Genomic DNA, 18,957 nt, shown 5'->3' with positions numbered 1-18,957 from the left:
GAGAAAAGGGAAAGAAGCAGAGAGATTATTAGAAGAAACAATGGCAGAACACTCCCTGAATTTATAGAAATCATGTTTAGATATCTTAGATCAGCCAAATTCAAGTATGACAAACCCAAAAAGACCCAGACCAAGACATTATCACACTGCTGAAAAAAAAAAGACAAAGAGAATTTTGAGAGCAATGAGAGAAAAGTAATTCTTTACATATGTGGGATTCTCAATGAGATTATTATTTAATTTCTCAGCAGAAACCTTGGAGCCAGAAGGCATCCAAGGCATGTGGTCCCCTATAACCTGTTGAGAAAAATATTTGCAACTGATTTACAGATAGTTCTGCATTTTATGGTGCAGACAGTGGACAGCTACAACACGATGGCCCCTCTCTGTGGTGGTTCTAGAGGCGGTGAAGAGAAATACTCCCAGTCAGCAGAACTTGGAGCTGCATACCTGGTTGTTCATTTTGTCTGGAAAGGGGAATAGCTACATGTGGAGGTCTATACTGATTCATGAGCAGTATCTGACTGCTTGGATAGATGGTTTGGACCTCGGAAGGAATATGATTAGAAAACTGGTGACAAGGAGGTCTGGGGAAGGAAAACATGTTGGAAAGATTAAATGGGCACATAATGTGAAGATATTTGTGTTTCATGCGAATACTTTCTAAATATTCAAGTCGGCTATTATATTTCAACCATGTAAAAGCCTCCTTTATAAGAATTTTGCAGTTTTTGATACTTTTTTCTTAGGTACTTTTCTTTTTGTTACAGAAAGTAATAGCATTTCTATATTTAACTTTTGCTTCCTGTGATAGTTAATTTTATGTATCAACTTGGCTAAACTATGATGTTCAGTCATTTGGTCAAATACTAGTCTAGATGTTACTATGAAGATATTTGTGGGTGTGACTACCATTTATAATCCATTGGTTTTAAGCAGATTACTCTCCATGGAGTGGGTGGACCTCATCCAAAGAGTTGAAAGCATTAAGAGCAAAGACTTAGGTTTCCTGAGGATGACTCAGGTCTGCATCAAGACTCCAATGTAGAAACCCTGTGTGAGTTTTCAGCCTGTGGTTCTGCTGTGCAGATTTCAGACTCAAGACTGCAATTTCAACTCTTACTTGAATTTCCAGCCTGCTGGCCTGCCCTACAGATTTCAGACTTGCCAGCCTTCACAAAAACATAAGCCAATTCCTTAAAATAACTCTCTCTCCCTCTCTCTATATGTACATCCTATGGGTTGTGTTTCTCTGAATAACCTGATTAATGTGCTGTAAAGAACACTGTAAAGAGCTGAAAAACTCTGGTCTTGAGATACTGTGTGGTATGGTGGAAAACGCATGGCTCTGAAATCATAGACCAGAGTTCACTGGGACAAATGACTTATGGTCTTGTAATCTGATTCCTCATCTGTAGAATCAGGATAAAATTACCTGACTTACTTGGCTATTGCGTTGGGTAAAGTTAAACATTGTAAGTAGAATGCCTGTCATGGTTCTTGGTTCACAGGTGCACAATAGTAACCAACTATGTTGAAGGGGGATACATTTTTTAGTTATCTACTTAGTGCTCTGAGTGTCATTAAATGATTTAATCAACCTGAGTCTCTTAGATGTTATTAAATGTAATATAGTTATTTTATTTGGCACACAGTAACATCACACCAATATCACCTCCTGGATGGTTAGATTTACACAGAATTCAAACATTATTTGAGGTTAGTTCTTGCCACTTACCTGTGTAAGGTCTAGGGCAAGCGTGTTTCCATGAGCCTATTCTCAACTTAGGTACTAATAATTACCTCATGAGGTTTTTGTGAGAAGTAAACGTGATAACGTAGGAAAACTTGCTCAGTATAATCCCAAGCATATAGTAGATGCTCAATACATCTACTAGAAGTTGTGGGAGTAATTTGGATTTCAAAGATGAGTTGGATCAGCTGTACTAAAGGGGAGCTTACATCATCTAATGAAGACAAAATCCACAAGACCACGTTGGAGGTCATAGTTCTTTTAATAGTAGAAAGCAGACAGGTAGAAAAATATCCACGTAGGAGGTATAAAGTTTTAGCAAGAGAAAAGAAACATGCCATGGGAAGATGATAAAAGGTCTACTTTTGCTCATTTACCGGATTATGTGCATTTGGTATGTGATCTCATCATCAGTGGAAGTTATGCAGTGCTTTCAAAGGCCTTCCACCTTGTCAGTGGCTAGTCATCACAAATCAGTAGAAGGGTGGATGCCCTAAGAACTGAACCAAAGCAATAATTTTGCCAGCAGGGGAGAGGTTGTTCAGGCTGAAATCCCAAAGGCTGGAATGCATTAGAAACAATTAGTTGATGCTGAAAGCTTTGACCGTTTAGTGAGAAATGTGACAAAATGAACACTCAAATTACACATCTAGCTTACAAAACAGGTCAAGAGCTCTTTATCTTTTCTCGCTTTCGAAAAATCGAAAGTCAACAAACAACACTTTTGGTAGAGGGGCATGCAGTCTACTTTTTCCCTTTGTCTTCTCAGTATCATCCTTTCTCATTCTTTTCACCCATACTCTCACTTCTTTCTCAGTCTTGGTTTTTTCCCTTTGTCTCCGGGTCCCCTTCTCACTTCCGAATTCTCGGCTCCCCTCTCCGCCCCTCGGGCTCGGGATGGCCCCGGGGCCGCATCTGCCAGGCGAGCGCTGGAGCCTGGCCCCACCGAGGGACTGGCAGTGACGTAGCCAGGAGGACGGTGCTCGCGCGGCCCGCTGACGTCACTGCCGCAGCGGTCTCTAGCGAAACCCATGAATGGGAATTCAAGGAGGGAAAAGCCAGCAGTGACCCCGCGGTCAGGGCTGAGGACGGCGACTGCGCCGGGTGCTTTGGGTTTCTGGGGTCGGCAGGCCGGAACGCCGCCTCTAGCGCGGGACGAGCACACCCCATAGCCTAGGCGCGCTGGAACGCACGAATTTAGCGCTCGGGGGGATGCCCCGAAACGGTGGGGCCTCGTGCGCACGCGCCTTGGCTGGCGAGGAGCTAGGGAAGGGAGTCACGGCGGGGCGCGAAGGGAACTGCGGATGAGATAGATGGGGGAAAACGTTTGTCGGGAGGCGACTCCAACAGAGCCCCAGGGTGCAGAACACAAGGAAGGCTACTGTCGCCCTCGGCCGCTTGCCAGTCTCCCTGGGCGCTGCGGCGGCGCGGGGCGCTGGGCCTGCGGCGCGGCGTCGTGACGTCACGGTGGCGGCAGCCGTGGTTGGCGCAAGGTCCGCGGCTGCAAAGTGTGAATTACGCCGGGCTCGCGCCGGCGGCGGAGTGAAGTCAGGCTCCGGGGGAGGGGAGGAGCAGGACTCCGGCGGCGGCGGCGGCGGCGGCGGCGGCGGCCCGAGCTGGTCGCTGCTCCTGAGTCCCGCGCGCCCTGGGTCTGGCCGCTGGCTCCAGCTGTCTTTTCTTGCACTGCTTTGCTCCGTTCGTGCTGCGCTCGAACTCTGCAGTCCGGGTACCTGCTCCTCTCGGCCGAGGAGCCCCAGGGCGGCGGGGTTCCCTTTCCGACTTTGCCTGTGCTGGCCCCGCTTGCACCCCGTCCCCCCTCGCCTGGAGCGAGGCGCGCGCCGGTCCTGGTAATTGGCGCCGCGGCCGCCGCGGAGCCTTCCCGCCGGCGGCCCGAGCGGAGGGCTGGGGTTGGGGAGGCGTGAGCGCGGCTTCCCAGCCCGGGGTCGGTCCCCGCCCGCCCTGCCCCCGTCTCGGCCCGGAGCCCCCGAGCCGCGGCCCCCTCCCACTGCAGGGGCCGGCGGCCGCGGCAGGGCGGGCGCCGCGCGGAGGCAGGGCGGGCGTATTCAATGGAAGTGTGTTACCAGCTGCCGGTACTGCCCCTGGACAGGCCGGTCCCCCAGCACGTCCTCAGCCGCCGAGGAGCCATCAGCTTCAGCTCCAGCTCCGCTCTCTTCGGCTGCCCCAATCCCCGGCAGCTCTCTCAGGTAATCGCCGCCGCCGGGCCCACACTTGAGGGCTTCTCTCTTTTGTTTCCCTCTGCCCACCCAGCTTCACCTCCTCTACAACCCCCAGCCCGCGCATTGTCCATTGTCTGGGGATTTCTAGGCTGGCCTTTCGATTGCAGAGCCTTTTCTTTGAATATTCCTGGCTGTCCCCCCTCAGTTCTCCAGCCTCCCCAAAACCCCACCCTGGTGGGTTCCGGGATCCTCTCATCAGACCCTCCCCAGGCTCGTCACCCTCTGTGCCCAGCAGTTTAAGCCTCAGGAATGACCGCCCTTGTCTTTTTCGGTCTGGAAGTTGAGTCTTTATTCCTTAGTCGTGGCCCCAGGGTACACCTGTGCTCCCCCGCCTTGCAACATACCTGTCCCCCTTCCCATACACACAACTGTACGGGGTTCGCGCCTCTCCTCCCCCAGCTCCCGCGCGCCCCGCGGCGCTCGCCTGGTCCTGCGGTTCCCTCTGAACAATAGGCCTAGATGCCCCGTTGCTGTAGTCTCCCCGACTCCTTCGTTTCTGTGGCTGGGCTGTACTGGGTATCAGAGGAACAAGTCTGCAAAGTTCATAGCCAGGAATCAGTTTTGTTTTTAATTTGATAAGGAGATTTTAGGAGAGAAACTACTGATGTACACTCATGGGAAGACTTTGAGTGGTCCAATACCAGTTGCTCCTGAGCATTTCTGTTTTTTTCCTGTGGTGATGCCGTTGGCCCAATTCCTTAGGTTTGGCTAATTTTGATTGTCAGACTTAAAACAGAGAGGTGAAAAGAATTTTGTTTACATCTGAACTGAGTGCCCTCACTTTCTGCTGCCAGAAGTTATGGCTAATGATCACTTTTATTAATCAAATATATTTTTCCTATTGGCTAATACTATCTTTTATGGGAGTATATTTTCTCTCTCCAGTTATATTGTATCTTGAGCAAGGTGTGTGTGTGTGTGTGTGTGTGTGTGTGTGTGCAGGTAGTGTGGACAGCACCTGGTAGAAATTTTGCGTGTAATAAGTGTCTAGTAAATATTTGTCATTTACTTCTTTGCCTAAAGTGTTTGTAGAAGGAGCAAGAGCCTATATTTGGGTCTCTCTCTGAATCCTTTTTATTTAAACTAAAACTTATTTCACAGCACAAGGTAGTATGCTAATGAGGTCAGAGCAGACTTGTGAAAATTACTATAATGTGTCATTTAGAATAATATTACATGGTTATTTATTTTGAAGGTTAGACCTGTGATCTGCCTTTTTAGTACCACTTAAAGCATGTTCAGATTCCAGAATTAATGTTGAGGAAATCTTAATGCACTGCTGAAGAAGGTTTTTAATAGTAGTAGTTAAAGGTTTTTAATGGTAGTAACTTTTTTTACTTCTAAATATTATTTTACTTCCTCAGATCAGCAGGCACATGACTAGCAACTCATTTCCAGTTATGTCTGAATAATAAAGGCAATCACTGATTATTTATACAATTATAAAACATGAATAAAGTTCTTGTGCTCTCTGAGAAGAAAATGAATGAGAAGGAAGATTCCAAGGGATTAAAATGAGGCTGATGCCAGGGGTTTTTCCTGATGTCTTAATTAATCCACAGAGACCAATTTTAAGCTCCACTTCTTGATTCATTTTTCCAGCCTTAGGTTTAAATGGGTAATGGAATTTTAAAAATATGATTGTGGCAGATGAAGCAAATATTGTAGAATTACACCATATTTTGCTAACCCTTACAACTTTTAAAAAAATTTCTGAACCCCAAAGTGAAGTATACAGGAACTTCTTAAACTTTGGACAGAAATTTTCCTCAATTAACCCTTTTTTTTCTATTAACATTGTGGTAAATGTAAACTTAGTGGATGCAGAGATGGACATACTTATCATTATCAAGACTTTGCATATCATTTAATAATAAAGCATATGTTGATATTGATTTCTTTAGGCCTAGATGTGAATTTGTAATAGGAAAAAAAAAAAGGAGACAGAAAACCTTGGAATCCTGCTCAGAACTTGTAAAATAAACATTTGGTTAATCAAATGCTTTCTTTACCCTTAAATTTTTAGTTCGTAAGCCTGAAGGTACAGAAGTTATAAAAAGTTTAACTGGTTTTGTAATTTTAAGATACTTAGGAAAAAAAACCCTTTTTTTTTTAAAAAAAAGACATTAAGTAAAATAGTTACAGTTTTTGTACTTTAAAATATGCTTAAAACTGGCAACCTTCCTTTTCATTTCCTTATTGTCACCATAGTATTGGAGCCCAGCTCATAGTAGGTACTTAATAAATATTTGTTGAATGAATGAATAGGTAATGAAATTATCTCTGACTGAGCATCAGTTTTAAATATGAAAACAATATGGAGCATGAAGGTACAGCACAAATTCATTTATCCAAAACTTGGTTTGGAACTTGTAACTGCAGACCATAACGATTCCAGGAATACACAGAAAAGACCGAGTGACCAAAATTGATTTGGAGATCGTCTTAAAGCCGGTGTGTTTTAGGCAAAGTTCTGACACAACTTGTTTTCAAGTAGCAGCAAATTTGAAGTGGGGTGGGAGGCTGCCAGAGTCAGTTCACACTGACAGCAGCAAAGGTTGACAGCAGACACACCAAAAGCCAGGGATCAGAAGAAAAACTCTTAGAAGCCAGCAACTTTTACAAGCACCCTGGGACATTTAGTTGAGGGGCTTGAGTGTTGTATAACACAATAATTTTTAGTCAGAATAATGTTAATAGAGCCTGTTTTTAAAAGTTGAAAGATTCGTACTGTTTTTTTGTTTTTAAAAAGATTTCCATGCCAAAGAGTTTTAAGTATTGATGCTGAACTGAAATGGACAAGCTTGAGTTACCTGGAAAATTCATTTATGTGGATGGAACACCAGCTCTTCCAAGGATGCCAAGTAAATGAGGCATTAATTTTTTGTTTTAAACTAGGATGTATACTATTTCAAATGGTTAATGTGAGTTTTTTGAATTAGTGAATGATAAAGTAGATGAAGCCTGTTCTTTGTCGTTTTTGGATATCTATTGTTGATAGCTGAGTTTAAAGATTTGTCTTTCAGAATAGCATTCATATTTGGAAAAAAAATATTGTGAAGGCAGAAATTGTGTCTTATTCACCATCATATCTGTGGTACTTTGCATAGGTAGGTTCTTGGTAGATGTGAAAGTTGAGTGAGTACATTGATGGGTATGCCAAAGCACTGCAGTTAGAATTATTCAGTCAGATTTTCTATGCACTGGAAGCAAATCTTATATGGGTTAGAAATTTGAGTTTTAATTTTTAGAAATCTATTGTTAATTTATATTGTTGCTAAGTTATCATTTGTCTTTTTTTTTTTTTAAGAAATATTTCACAAATATATACTCATAGAATAGCTTCTTGTGAGTGAGGCTCCTTGTGTTATGCGTTGAGAAAATGTAAAGAATTACAGGCTGAGCAGCCCTAGTCTGAAAATCCAAAATGCCCTCAAAGGGAAACTTTCTGAGTGCCGACACGGAGACAGCCTGCTATTATTTGTTGCTGTTGTTGAGCAGCTGATGCAGGTATTCTGGGGCTGCTGCTCTGCTGCCTAGTTACCCTAAACACATTATTTTCTCACTGTATTAATGGTATGTTGTACTGTTTACTGTTAAGTACATTTGTGTAAGTGTGAGAAATGATTGCTTATCACTAGCATATAAATTCAGAGTCAGAAATGATGGTGATGCCAAACAAGTACAGATCAACCACATGGGTGTTAAGATCGTCCACATGAGTGATGAGACGCCTTTGCTTTCTGGTGGGTCAGTGTACACAAACCTTGTTTCATGCACAAAATTATTTAAAAGAGTGTGTAAAATTATGTTCAGGCTATGTTTATAAGGTGTATACAAAATCTAAATGAACTTTGTGTTTAGACTTGGGTCCCATCTCCAAGGTATCTCATGACGTATACACAAATACTCCAAAATCCAAAAAAGTCTGATTGATATCCAAAACACTCCTGATCCCAAGCATTTTGGATAGTGATACTCAGCCTGTAGTAATTTTTTGTTGCTGCTGTTGTTTTAATCGTTTGTAACACTGCCACCCTAACCAAGTTTTCCTTTGTATGCATACCCTTCCTTATACACAACCGTTTTTCAACTACAGTCATTATTTCCATTCTCTCTTTAGCAGTGTTCTTAGTATATGACAAATTATCCAGGTCCTGTGAGTGCGAGAATAGTTCAAAGCCCCTTGGATAAAAGTTGGTTCCTCCTTCAGGAAGCTTACAGAATTGTGATAGAGAAAATGGTATGATTATATGTGGTGTAATTATTATACTGGAGTTATCAAAGTGTTATGAGATGATAAGGCATGTATGCCTAAATTTCTGGTTTAAATCAGGATTAGCCTTATGTAATCGTTGAGGCTTTCTTAGGCCAAGGACTGAAGGTGAAGCAGTTGTTTCTAGACAAATGGGTGAATGTAGGGGGAGGAGGAAGGAGGATGGCCCACGTGGATATGATCAGAGATGTCCAGTAGAACTTTCTGTGATGATGGAAATGTTTTTGCACTATCTGATGATAGTCACTAGCCTTATGTGGCTAGTGGGCACTTGAAATGTGGCTAGTATGACTGAGGAAATGAATTTTTACTTCAGTTTTATTTAAATAGCTACATATGGCTAGCAGCTTTTCAATTGGCAGAGCAGAGGTATTGTCAATAAACTAGAGTGAAGTCATGTTAATCTATGAGCAACACATTCTCTGAATGTTGAACATTTTTGTTTTTAGGTTTTCGTTGATGTATGCAAAACTTCATTTAATAAATACCTTCATGCATGCTTGATAAAGTCTTTAAAATCACTAGGTTGGGTCAAAAGGTAAGAACATCTTTTGAAATTCACAAAAGGATCTATCCTTTGATATTACCAAAATAGGTGATCCTGTCTGTTTCATCTCCAATCATATATTATTAGACATTTTATAAACATTTTGCTACTATAGTAGATGCAGTGTGGTACACTGAGTTTGTTTTAAATTGCAGTAAGCAAGAGTGTGCTTTCTGAAGTATTGCTTGTGCTATTTGTATTTGCTCTTTTGTGAAATTTTATTTGCATATCCCGTGCTTGTTTATAAGGGCTCTTGTGTACCCAACATCAGTATATAAATGTGCATTATTCCAAATTACTGTTAGCATAATAGTTGCCTCTTTGCAAACTTAGATACAGAAGCTGATACAGGGACTAGTGTGGCCAGTGAGTGGGATACCCCAAGGGAAGTGGTTATATTTATGAGACCTTCCTACCTGTGTATTCTCAAAACACCTGTTTTGTTGGGACCTTGGCTTCATTTCTGTTTTCAGAAATGCTTCATACTTTGATTTAAATTTAATACTACCATACTTTAGCTTTCACTTCTGAGCTAATATATGTTTATATTTCAGATACATGCTCAAACATAATATTAATGTAAATCCATAGTGTATTTGGAGTGGGAGTGTAGTTCTAACAGGGTGTTCAAATTGCTAGTTTATAGGTTGTCAGGAACACATTCAGTCTAGGAGATGTGATTTATATGCCGAGATTTTACTGCTTTGTTGCTATGCCTAGAGTTCCATCAGCTGTACATGCTGTCTACCCAGGAATTCCTTCTTAAACACCAAAGTCTGCAAGAGGTAAAATATTAAGCCCTTCACAGAAGTTAGGAAGAGAGGGAGCTCACTTTGGGTGGAAAGAGGGAGAGGTGCCCTTCATTCTCTTTGAGGCAATTTTCAACTCTTCTCTTCTTTTCTCTTCCCTCCTCTTCCTTCACTATTGACCAGAGCAGTTATAGAGAATTGTGTTGTTTTCTGAGGATGAATGTAGGGGCAAGTTTGGGAAAAGAAGAGCTGAAGAAAGGGGGAGTGGACAAAACTTAGGTTCTGTCTCATTTTTGTCTAAGATCGTTAACAGTCATTTAACTGGATTAAAGACCTAGTAAATTTAGATGATGAAGAAGCCTTATTGCATGCAGGCCCTCTTAAGGAATTTACTTTTCTTTGTTTTCTTAATTTTCTTTGTTTGACTTTATGGATCACATTTATGTGTTTATGTAAAATCTATTTCTGATTTTGTTAGAAGTCTCTTGACTAAAGATCTTTTCAGATCTAGACATTCTTAAATTCCCTGTGTTCACTACAAAAAACTCCAATTCATTTTGAATCTTCTAATTTAAAAATAATTCAAAACTTAAATTCTGGCTGTGAAGTTGCTTATCTTTTATGGTTAATTTGAATTGAGAGACAATTTTGAATTTATTCTCTTCCACATTTAAATGGCTTATTCTTGCCTAAAAGTAACATAGACTTTGTTGATTTTTTTATATTGTTGCCAAACATGCTTTTCAAAAGGTTATTCACAAATAAGTGATACTTTTGCATATTTGCATTCAGGTATATTTGCATTCAGGTAGTGTTCATAGGATCAGCATATGAGGAGAGGAACAAAAACTAGATTTGTAGATGAGCCTTCTAAACTTGCAGGGCTTTATTTTGGCTGCTGGTAGGTTCCTTTTATAAGGGAAGGGACTGTGCCAATGATTGTATGGTTGACACTGAAGCATCTCCTGCTTATAATTTTCTTTGAGTAGCAATTTTGGAACACTGCTCCATGCCTCCACCTGCTGGTAGGGATGGCTCTTCATTTTCAGAAAGTGATGGCTAGAGGGAGATGGAGAAGACCAAGGCAAGTCAGGGTAGAATTTGGGGGAGAAAATTAGTTGTTAACTGGGTAACTAAATTTCAGCAAAGTCTGCTTTACTTATCAGAATTTTGAGTAGAACAAAGTGTAGTTCAGGACCATATAAAGTACTTGGCAAGTGGTTCTTAATAAAGATGCAGTAGTTTTGCTTTAGTAACAATTATAATTACAGCTGACCCTTGAACAATGCAGGCTGCAACTCCCCGTGCAGTCAAAAATCCACATATAACTTTTGACTCCTCAAAAACTTAACTACTAATAGCCTACTCTTGGTGAGAAGCCTTACTGATAACATAAACAGTTGATTAGCACAAATTTTGTGTATGTATTATATTCTGTCTTACAATAAAGCAAGCTAGAGAAAAGAAAATGTTATTAAGAATATCAGAAGTAAGAGTTTGCTATTCATTAAGGGGAGGTGGATCGTTGTAAAGGTCTTCATGAACCTCATCATCTTCATGTTGAGTAGGCTGAGGAGGAAGAGGAGGGATTGGTCTGTCTCAGGGGTGATGCTTTGCAAGTTTTCTTAAATTTTCATAAATCTTCACAAAATTTCTTAGTATATTTATTGAAAAAAATCTGCTTGTAAGGGGACCTTTGCAGGTCAAACCCATATTGAATTGTCAACTGTATTTGTTTCTGTTTTTGGAGTAACTCCTATATGGCAGATACTTTTAATTAGTGTGGTGTTTTTTTGTTTTGTTTTGTTTTTGTTTGAGACAGGGTCTTGTTCTGTCTCCCAGGCTAGAGTGCAATGGCAGTATCTCGGCTCATTGCAACCTCTGCATCCCGGCCTTAAATGACCCTCCTGAGTAACTGGGACTACAGGCATGCCCCACCATGCCTGGCTAATTTTTCTAGTTTTTGTAGAGATGGGGTTTTGCCATGTTGCCCATGCTGGTCTGGAACTCCAGGACTCAAGTGATCCGCCCACCTTGGCCTCCCAAAGTGCTGGGATTACAAGCATGAGCCACCGTGCCTGGCCCAGTTGGTGTTTTTGATCTTTACAAAAACTCCGTGAGATTAAGTAGTATTACTCTCATTTTTACCAAAGAATAAACTGAGTTTCCAGACATTAAGTTGCTCAAGGTATTATATGAACTTCCAGAAAGGCCTGTTGTGCTCCAAGACCTTCACTTTTAATCTGGCCTGCCTAATCAGGGAAGATGAGTGGACTGCAGTTAGAATTTTGAGTTTACAAATTATAAATCTTGTTGTCTTATGGATGTGGATTAGGAAAACACATTTGACTGATTATTTGATGTAGTTATTTGAAGTAATAACTTTCATTCTGATCTTTTCAAATCCTATCTGGAGTATTTTGTTCTAAATGCCATGTTCTAGGAGGGTATAACTCAGCTAAATTGTTCTCTGAAGATAATGAGCAGGTTGGTAAGGTGATTTGAAACCACTTCTCTGGAGAAAAAAAGTCTCAGATTTTAGCCAGCAGGGATAGAGATGGAGATGGAGAGTTGGTGAGAGGGGACAGAGCATTGCTGTCTTCCAGGATTTAAAGGACTGCCATGTGAATAAAAGGAAAAAGAGGGTTAATATGTTATAGATTTCGATTGGTTGTGTGTTGTTGATTGCTGTGCACTCTTCCTACTTTGTGTTAAGCGTCTCTAATTTGGAGAAGATATAAGTTTAAAGCTGTCATTTGTCCAAGGTAACACAATTAAGTAGTGGAAATGGGTTAAACTCTAGGTCATGCTGACTCTAAAGCCTGTGTACTCTCTTCTACTTCCTTTTGCCACATGGGAAAAGGACGTTACCTCAGAGGGTAAAATAAGTACCAATAGCTAGGAACAGTAGGAAATAAGGAGATCTGGTGTTTAACCATGCTGGTAATCAAAGAAATGCATACTAAAAAATGTGATACTGGCTGGGCATGGTGGTTCATGCCTGTAATCCCAACACTTGTGAGGCTTAGGTGGGAGGGTTGCTTGAATTCAGGAATTTGAGACCAGCCTAGGCAACACAGAGAGATCCTGTCTCTGCAAAAAAAATTTTAAAAATTAGCCAGGCATGGTGACACGTGCTTGTAGTCCCAGCTAAGCTGGAGGCTGTGGTGGGAGGATCTCTTGAGCCCAGGAGGTCATGGCTGCAGTGAATTGTGATCGTGCTACTACACTGCAGCCAAAGTGAGTTTATAGCTTGAAGGTTACATGTACACAATGCTAGTAAGATTTTAAAAATTAATACTTAAATTAGTATTTTTGATAATTCGCTTTTGGGAATCTATTCTGAGGACATGACTAAAAATGTAGATAAAGGTTAATCTTCAAGTTTATTCATCCCATTATTTATCACTGTGAAAAATTGAAAACATAATTTACAAATGATGAAGTAGATTATAGTATTATGTAGTATAGTATTTTTCATTGTTTCTGTATTATGTTAGCACTTAAATGCCTTGAAAAATTTAAAGGATATATAAAAATATAGTTTACAAATGGCTCAATGGATTCTAGTATTATTTCTATATTGTATATCCACTAAAATGATTTGAAGAATTTGAGGAATCTTTAATCACATGGAAGAAATGCTAGCAACATAATTAAGTGAAGAAAAACCCCAGAGTATCTACAGATTATCTTAATTGTGTTTAAAAAACAAATAACAGAATACATACATATCTATATACCATGCATGCGTGCCAAAAAATAAAGAGAAAGCTAGATGTATCCCAAAATGCTAACTGAAGCTATTGCTGGGTGGTGAAATTATAAGTTATTTTTAACTTCTTTATAATTGTATGTAACTTTATTGATATTCTTGTATTAACATGAATCTCTTTTTTAACCAAATTAATTTAGGAATAATAAGTCAAGTGAGTTGTATTTGGACCCAGATCTTTGGCAAAGCTGTTCGTAAAGGGTGGGCAGCTCATGAGTTTATAAATTCTCAACCAGTGACTGTTGAGACAGCAGCTTGAAAGGTATTTAGATAAGGATAGTCTCCAAGGGTTTGACTGATTTCTTCCACCTTCGTGATTCTGTGATTTTTTTTTTTTTGGTAAGTCATATATATGCATGACAGGTACACCTGCATAGCTCTGATTATTGTAAAGTAATTTTACTTTCCATGAGAGATCCTGGGAGGTAAAATTAAGTATAGTTATTGTTTTGAAGAAGAGCTATTTGATGACAGCTGGTGAAGAGATCTTCAACAATGGCAGTGGTGGAAGGAAGAGAGAAAGTTAGGAGTTAGGTCCTAGGAAGTGATTTGCTTTGGGAGGTAAAAAGTATTCCTACTGTTTTAGTTTGGAAAGACCAGGTAGATTGTGAAGCTAGGAACAAAAATGCAAATAGGAAGAAGAGGCAGGTTTGTTTTTCTTTCTTCTTTCAAAAACAAATGTGTGCATTTGTAGAGGGGGGTAGATAAGTTTACTTCGAATATGTAGAGTTCAAGTGTCTGAACATCCAGATGAGGATGTCCAGTAGAAAGGTTAGCACTAATGATATATTCTGACCTTTAGTATAAGGGTTTTCAAACATTTTGCTCATACAGCCTTTCAAAGAACTTGAACAACAAAAAAACTGTGTACCTTCTCCCACATCTTGAGTTTTTCATCTAAGTTTTAATATATATAAATGATGTAATTTCTGGTAGTGTTGTTCAAATCACAATTTTAAATGTATATGAGGGGATTTTTAACAGTTCATTCATTAAAAAATATGTGAACAAAGTTAATTTTAACAGAATTTTTTATAGTCTTTTTTTTTCTTTGAACTGTTATTTTTGTTTTACTTTCTCTACATATTATCCTAATGTATTCTTTTATGCTGGAAAGCATTTTTATCAATCATGTTATATTTTTCTGCAACAAAAGGAAATTCATTCATGAATTTAGTAGATGGGAATAAAAAGTGCTTTATTTTAATGGTCACTCAGTTCTGAGTTCTATGGACAGTTATAATACAAAAATACGAAAATTGTGTATGTCCATAATGCTCTGTGTCAGATTTATTTTGGACTGAGTTATCAGTTCAGTCATGTCCAGTAGACAATCAAAACAACATATGTTAATTACAAATTTTAATAAGTATTAAAGTAAAATTTTGTCAGAAATGCGTTTTCAGTGGGATAGATGGGGCTGATTTATTTCAATTATTTTATCCATTTCTAAATATTAGAAAAGATGGGGTTCTGCTTGATTCTGTTCCTTTTTTACTTTAATATTTGAAAGTGTTGAGAAACCTCACTTACGAATTTAGTAGATGGTCATTAAAAAGTGCTTTATATTAGCAGTAGCACCCATTCTTCTAGGTTGTATGCATAAAACAACAAAATAATCCATAATCAAAATTATTCTTAATGCTTTGTCAGGTAGCAACTGGATTTGATTCTCCTTTCATTTTCATGGAAGTGGTGACACCTTGATTTGAAAAAGAACCCTGAACTTAAAATAAATGTTAAAAAAAAAAGAAAGAAAAAGGTTTCAGTGTTTTTAGAGTAATTAACTTTCTCAACATGAATATATTGAAGTGTCCTTTTGTCCACCTGGATATTTTTAGCCCAAAGACAGTACTCGACAGCAAGTTTCAGAAAATGTGAGAGTTACGGTTTTCTTTTATGAAGTGGCAGAGGGGAATGAGGTAAAGGGAAAGAGGAAGTGGAAGTAAAGGAAAACAGACATGCTGTGTCAACACAATGGTTCTAGAAAACTGTACAGATGGAAAGTGAGAACCTAATCATCAATTCTCTTTACTCTCCATGCTGATATGCTTCCAGGGGTATACATGACCCAATTTGTGGACTGCTGGTTTACTATATTCCCTTTGTTACTTGTTGCTGCCTTGTTGCTGTATTTTGCTGCTCTCCATAGCTATACAGAAATAATACCTTATTCATCTGTCATTTTTTTTCTAGGTTTTTGATTGTTACTAGTTCTGGGTTTCCATACTTCATCACTCTGTGGAATCAGAATATCAATGCTTGAAAGGGACTTTATAAATAATTCCATTCCCAACATTTTAGAAATTTAGCAGCTGAGGCTCAGAAGATTGAGTGATTTGTCCCAGATCACACAGTAAGAAAGTGGAGAAGTTACGGCTTTAAATTTAGTTCTTCCAACTTTTAATCTGTTGCTTTTCTCACTATATTCCCTGCTTCCTTATAAAAGGATTGAGCTGTAGGAATTCTTTCAGTTGCCGTCTTTCTTTAATGGACATTATTTGGGTGGCATATCTTCTTTAATACATTGAAGCCATCTGTTTATGGCCCAGTAATCGTTTGAAAAAGTTAAGAGTACAAACACACTCAGTTCTGAAAATATCTGAGTTACTTTTAATTAACATATAATCAGAGATAAAGCAAAGCCATTATCAGAAGTATAATGGGTCATTTGGGAAGATAGCATTTGATTTGTTGAAATGTGATTTATGTGCAACTTAACCTTTTATAAAGAAAGACATATCTTACTTGCCTTTAAAAATTAACTTATGAATGAAGCCATTTTCACCTTGGGGAACAAAAGTTAATATCATAACATACAGCGAGCTCACTCTCTAGCACTGTTATGTATGAAATGGTGAGTAGTGGAATTTTTTAGTAATTTAAATTTTTTTAAAATTTTACTTTTTGTGTAAATTCTTCATAGTGAATATATATTTTAAGAAAAACAATGAAGTTATTCTAAAAAGTAAAATGAAAAGATTCTTTACTTTTAACAAGGATAATACAATCAAATACCCAAGAATGTAAAGACTACTCAGTAGAAAATTAGCAAAATACTCGAATATAAGACTACTCGGTAGAAAATTAGCAAAAGTCTCAAGCAGTTCCAAGAAGAAATATAAATGTAGCAAAACATGTATAGCTTATCTAGTAATAAAGGAAATGCAAATAAAAGGTGGTTTGGCTTTGTTTTGTTTTGGCAGAAGAGTACTTTCATATTGGTGAAGACTGACAAAATCCACTGTTGGGAAGGATATAAGAAAATGAGTAATCTTATATGTGGAGTTGGAGTATCATTTGAGTCAACCTTTTGAGAGGACAGAAGGTCTATGCTATACAGATGAAAATTTTAAATGTAGATACTACCATTTCTGCAGTCCTGGAATTTGTCCAAAGGGGCAATTGCAAAACTTTGCTAAGATATATGTATACAGGTTTTTGGTAACAATTTGCAACATTGGTAATGATAGATATTTTAATTCATTTCAGTGTTTATCAGTGGGGGATTGGATAAATTATGGGTATTTTAATTCAACAGAAAACTCTGTATCCAATAAAATGATGCCAAATAGCCATATTTGTCATAGAAAGATACACATAACAACTTTGGGGGAAAAAAACTAGTTGCAAAATGGCATGCCTGTCAATTTAACAGCCATTTAATGCTGCTTTCTACATCTGTATTTTTGGATAAAATCATGGAAGATATTATATATCAATGTGTGAAAACATCCAAATCTGGAAGGTTATTCAGTATAATGTTAACAGTGCCTATCTTTGGGTAGTGAGATTTCTGGTAATTTTTACCATCTTCCTACTTTTCTGATTTTTTTTTTTAAACAATGAAAATATATCTATTTCAGAAATCGACAAAGCTATTTTTTGAAATAGTCCCTTTAAAAAAGTAACATGTCTGTTAGAGTATCATATAAGTGGAATTTTTAAGTTATGAAGAGACTGAGGTCTAGTTAGTTAATAATCTAATGAGTTACAAGTATGTGAGTTGGAAGTGGGTTATTCACTGCCATAGCCCTGTGTGCCTGGCACATAGAAGGTGTTCAGAGGTATAGTCTGTTAAAATGAAAGTAGAGTCATGTGTCGCTTAACAATGAGGATACATACTGATAAATGCATCATTAGGCGATTTCGTCGTTGTGTGAACATCATATTTACACAAATCTAGATAGCATAGCCTACCACACACCTAGGCTGTGTGGTATAGCCTATTGCTTCTAGGCTGCAAACCTGTACTGCATGTTACTGTACTAAATATGTAGGAAGTTGTAACACAATGGTATTTGTGCATTTAAACATAGAAAAGATACACTAAAAATACAGTGTTATAATGTTATGGGTCCACTGTTATACATGCTATTCATTATTGAATAAAATGTGGTTATTTGGCACATGACTGTATAGTGTTATAATGTTTGGAGGAATATGCTGCATTCTTAATGAAAAATGAAGAAAATTAAAGTGAGTGTTATGGTGGCTAGTTTACAAAAAACATTCTACCTACTTCAAAGCTGAGAAAATAAACTTTCTGTTATATTTAAATTTACTAAAATATTTGAGGGTCTCTATATGCCTAATACGTTCGTAAAATCTAAAAAGTTGTCAAGAAAAATTACGGCTTAAGATCATAGAATATTACCATTAGAAGAGCCTGTAAACTTCTCATAACATACAGATCAGTAGGCTGAAACAAGAGAGGTTAAAGGACACACAAAGGCAATACAGAAATCTCTTCTGTTGAATGTTTCTGATTTTGACTATTCAGCCTTATGGAACACTTTTGGAGCGGGAAGGTTACCACTTGGTAAGGCAATGCATTGTGGTGTTTAATGGTGTAGTGGGGTTGAATAGTGTTTACCAACAATTCTTGTTCACCAGGAATCTCAGAATGTGACCTTATTTGGAGTAAGGGTCTTTGCAAATGTAGTTAAGATGAGAATATATGGGATTAAGACAGACCCTCGATTCAATGAGTGGTATCTCTGGAGTCCCAGAAACTCAGACACACTCAAGGAAGAAAATCATGTGAAGATGGAGGCAGAGATTGGAGTGATGCAGCCACCAGCCAAGAACACCAAGGATTGCTGGGAGACATCAGAAACTAGAAAGGGGCAAGGACGATTCTCCTCTAAAGCCTTCAAAGGGAGCATGGTCCTGCTGACTCCTTGATTTTGGACCTTCAGCCTCCAGAACTATGAGAGAATATATTTCTGTTGTTTTAAGCCACCCGATTTGTGGTACTGTGTTAATAGCCCTAGGAAACTATTACAGATGGTTTTGATTATTTCAAATTTATTTGTTCATTCTTTCAATCAAATTTACTGAGCACTTACATGCCAGGCACTCTGCTAGGTATTACAGAGATAAATAAGACATTGTTCCTGCCTTCATTCTTGGGGTTTGACTCAGTAGAAAAAGCAGCTTTGTAAATAGACAGTTGCAATACATTTTGATACATGTTTTCACTAGAATGTTATATGAAGTTAAGTGATGGCACCTGAAGCTAGGAGAACCTGGGATGTTTTACGAAGTGAGATCTTTGTGTTTGGTTTCAAAGATAGAGTTGAAACCAGCCTCCATAGGAATTCTGTTTTATTCTGCC

General features: G+C 38.8%; 1 protein-coding gene and 1 long non-coding RNA gene across 4 annotated transcripts in view, besides 9 other annotated features; one reads left to right on the top strand and one right to left on the bottom strand.

Annotated features, from left to right (window-relative positions):
- PDE7A-DT (PDE7A divergent transcript) lies at nt 1,997-3,162 on the bottom strand. Its single transcript, NR_186488.1, has one exon. It is a non-coding gene; the product is annotated as a PDE7A divergent transcript (long non-coding RNA).
- Nucleotides 2,426-2,994: an enhancer, noted in NCBI's record as "H3K27ac hESC enhancer chr8:66754569-66755137 (GRCh37/hg19 assembly coordinates)". NCBI's record gives its function as "activates a minimal SCP1, AML or CMV promoter by ChIP-STARR-seq in naive H9 embryonic stem cells {active_cell/tissue: H9 hESC(naive)}" and the evidence as "EXISTENCE:reporter gene assay evidence [ECO:0000049][PMID:30033119]".
- Nucleotides 2,995-3,564: an enhancer, noted in NCBI's record as "H3K27ac hESC enhancer chr8:66753999-66754568 (GRCh37/hg19 assembly coordinates)". NCBI's record gives its function as "activates a minimal SCP1, AML or CMV promoter by ChIP-STARR-seq in naive H9 embryonic stem cells {active_cell/tissue: H9 hESC(naive)}" and the evidence as "EXISTENCE:reporter gene assay evidence [ECO:0000049][PMID:30033119]".
- Nucleotides 3,092-3,151: a silencer, noted in NCBI's record as "silent region_19249". NCBI's record gives its function as "represses an Ori minimal core promoter by ATAC-STARR-seq in GM12878 lymphoblastoid cells {active_cell/tissue: GM12878}" and the evidence as "EXISTENCE:reporter gene assay evidence [ECO:0000049][PMID:35858748]".
- PDE7A (phosphodiesterase 7A) overlaps nt 3,264-18,957 on the top strand; it is a 127,731-nt gene continuing 112,037 nt past the window's right edge. For 2 of the 3 annotated variants that reach the window (NM_001242318.3, XM_011517540.4), the window contains exon 1: nt 3,264-3,957. In NM_001242318.3, the coding sequence (NP_001229247.1) occupies nt 3,820-3,957 (138 nt within the window). In that variant the 5' untranslated portion in view covers nt 3,264-3,819. Of the gene's footprint in view, nt 6,855-18,957 lie in introns of all 3 variants that reach the window. The other variant, XM_017013538.3, reaches the window with a different exon arrangement.
- Nucleotides 3,272-3,321: a silencer, noted in NCBI's record as "silent region_19248". NCBI's record gives its function as "represses an Ori minimal core promoter by ATAC-STARR-seq in GM12878 lymphoblastoid cells {active_cell/tissue: GM12878}" and the evidence as "EXISTENCE:reporter gene assay evidence [ECO:0000049][PMID:35858748]".
- Nucleotides 3,565-4,133: an enhancer, noted in NCBI's record as "H3K27ac hESC enhancer chr8:66753430-66753998 (GRCh37/hg19 assembly coordinates)". NCBI's record gives its function as "activates a minimal SCP1, AML or CMV promoter by ChIP-STARR-seq in naive H9 embryonic stem cells {active_cell/tissue: H9 hESC(naive)}" and the evidence as "EXISTENCE:reporter gene assay evidence [ECO:0000049][PMID:30033119]".
- Nucleotides 3,602-3,861: a silencer, noted in NCBI's record as "silent region_19247". NCBI's record gives its function as "represses an Ori minimal core promoter by ATAC-STARR-seq in GM12878 lymphoblastoid cells {active_cell/tissue: GM12878}" and the evidence as "EXISTENCE:reporter gene assay evidence [ECO:0000049][PMID:35858748]".
- Nucleotides 4,134-4,703: an enhancer, noted in NCBI's record as "H3K27ac hESC enhancer chr8:66752860-66753429 (GRCh37/hg19 assembly coordinates)". NCBI's record gives its function as "activates a minimal SCP1, AML or CMV promoter by ChIP-STARR-seq in naive H9 embryonic stem cells {active_cell/tissue: H9 hESC(naive)}" and the evidence as "EXISTENCE:reporter gene assay evidence [ECO:0000049][PMID:30033119]".
- Nucleotides 4,342-4,411: a silencer, noted in NCBI's record as "silent region_19246". NCBI's record gives its function as "represses an Ori minimal core promoter by ATAC-STARR-seq in GM12878 lymphoblastoid cells {active_cell/tissue: GM12878}" and the evidence as "EXISTENCE:reporter gene assay evidence [ECO:0000049][PMID:35858748]".
- Nucleotides 15,412-15,531: an enhancer, noted in NCBI's record as "active region_27464". NCBI's record gives its function as "activates an Ori minimal core promoter by ATAC-STARR-seq in GM12878 lymphoblastoid cells {active_cell/tissue: GM12878}" and the evidence as "EXISTENCE:reporter gene assay evidence [ECO:0000049][PMID:35858748]".

The sequence above is a fragment of the Homo sapiens genome, chromosome 8, assembly GCF_000001405.40.
Source record: "Homo sapiens chromosome 8, GRCh38.p14 Primary Assembly".
NCBI lineage: Eukaryota > Metazoa > Chordata > Mammalia > Primates > Hominidae > Homo > Homo sapiens.
The sequence above is the reverse complement of the archived record's forward strand: the minus strand, read 5'-3'. Positions and strand labels throughout refer to the sequence as shown.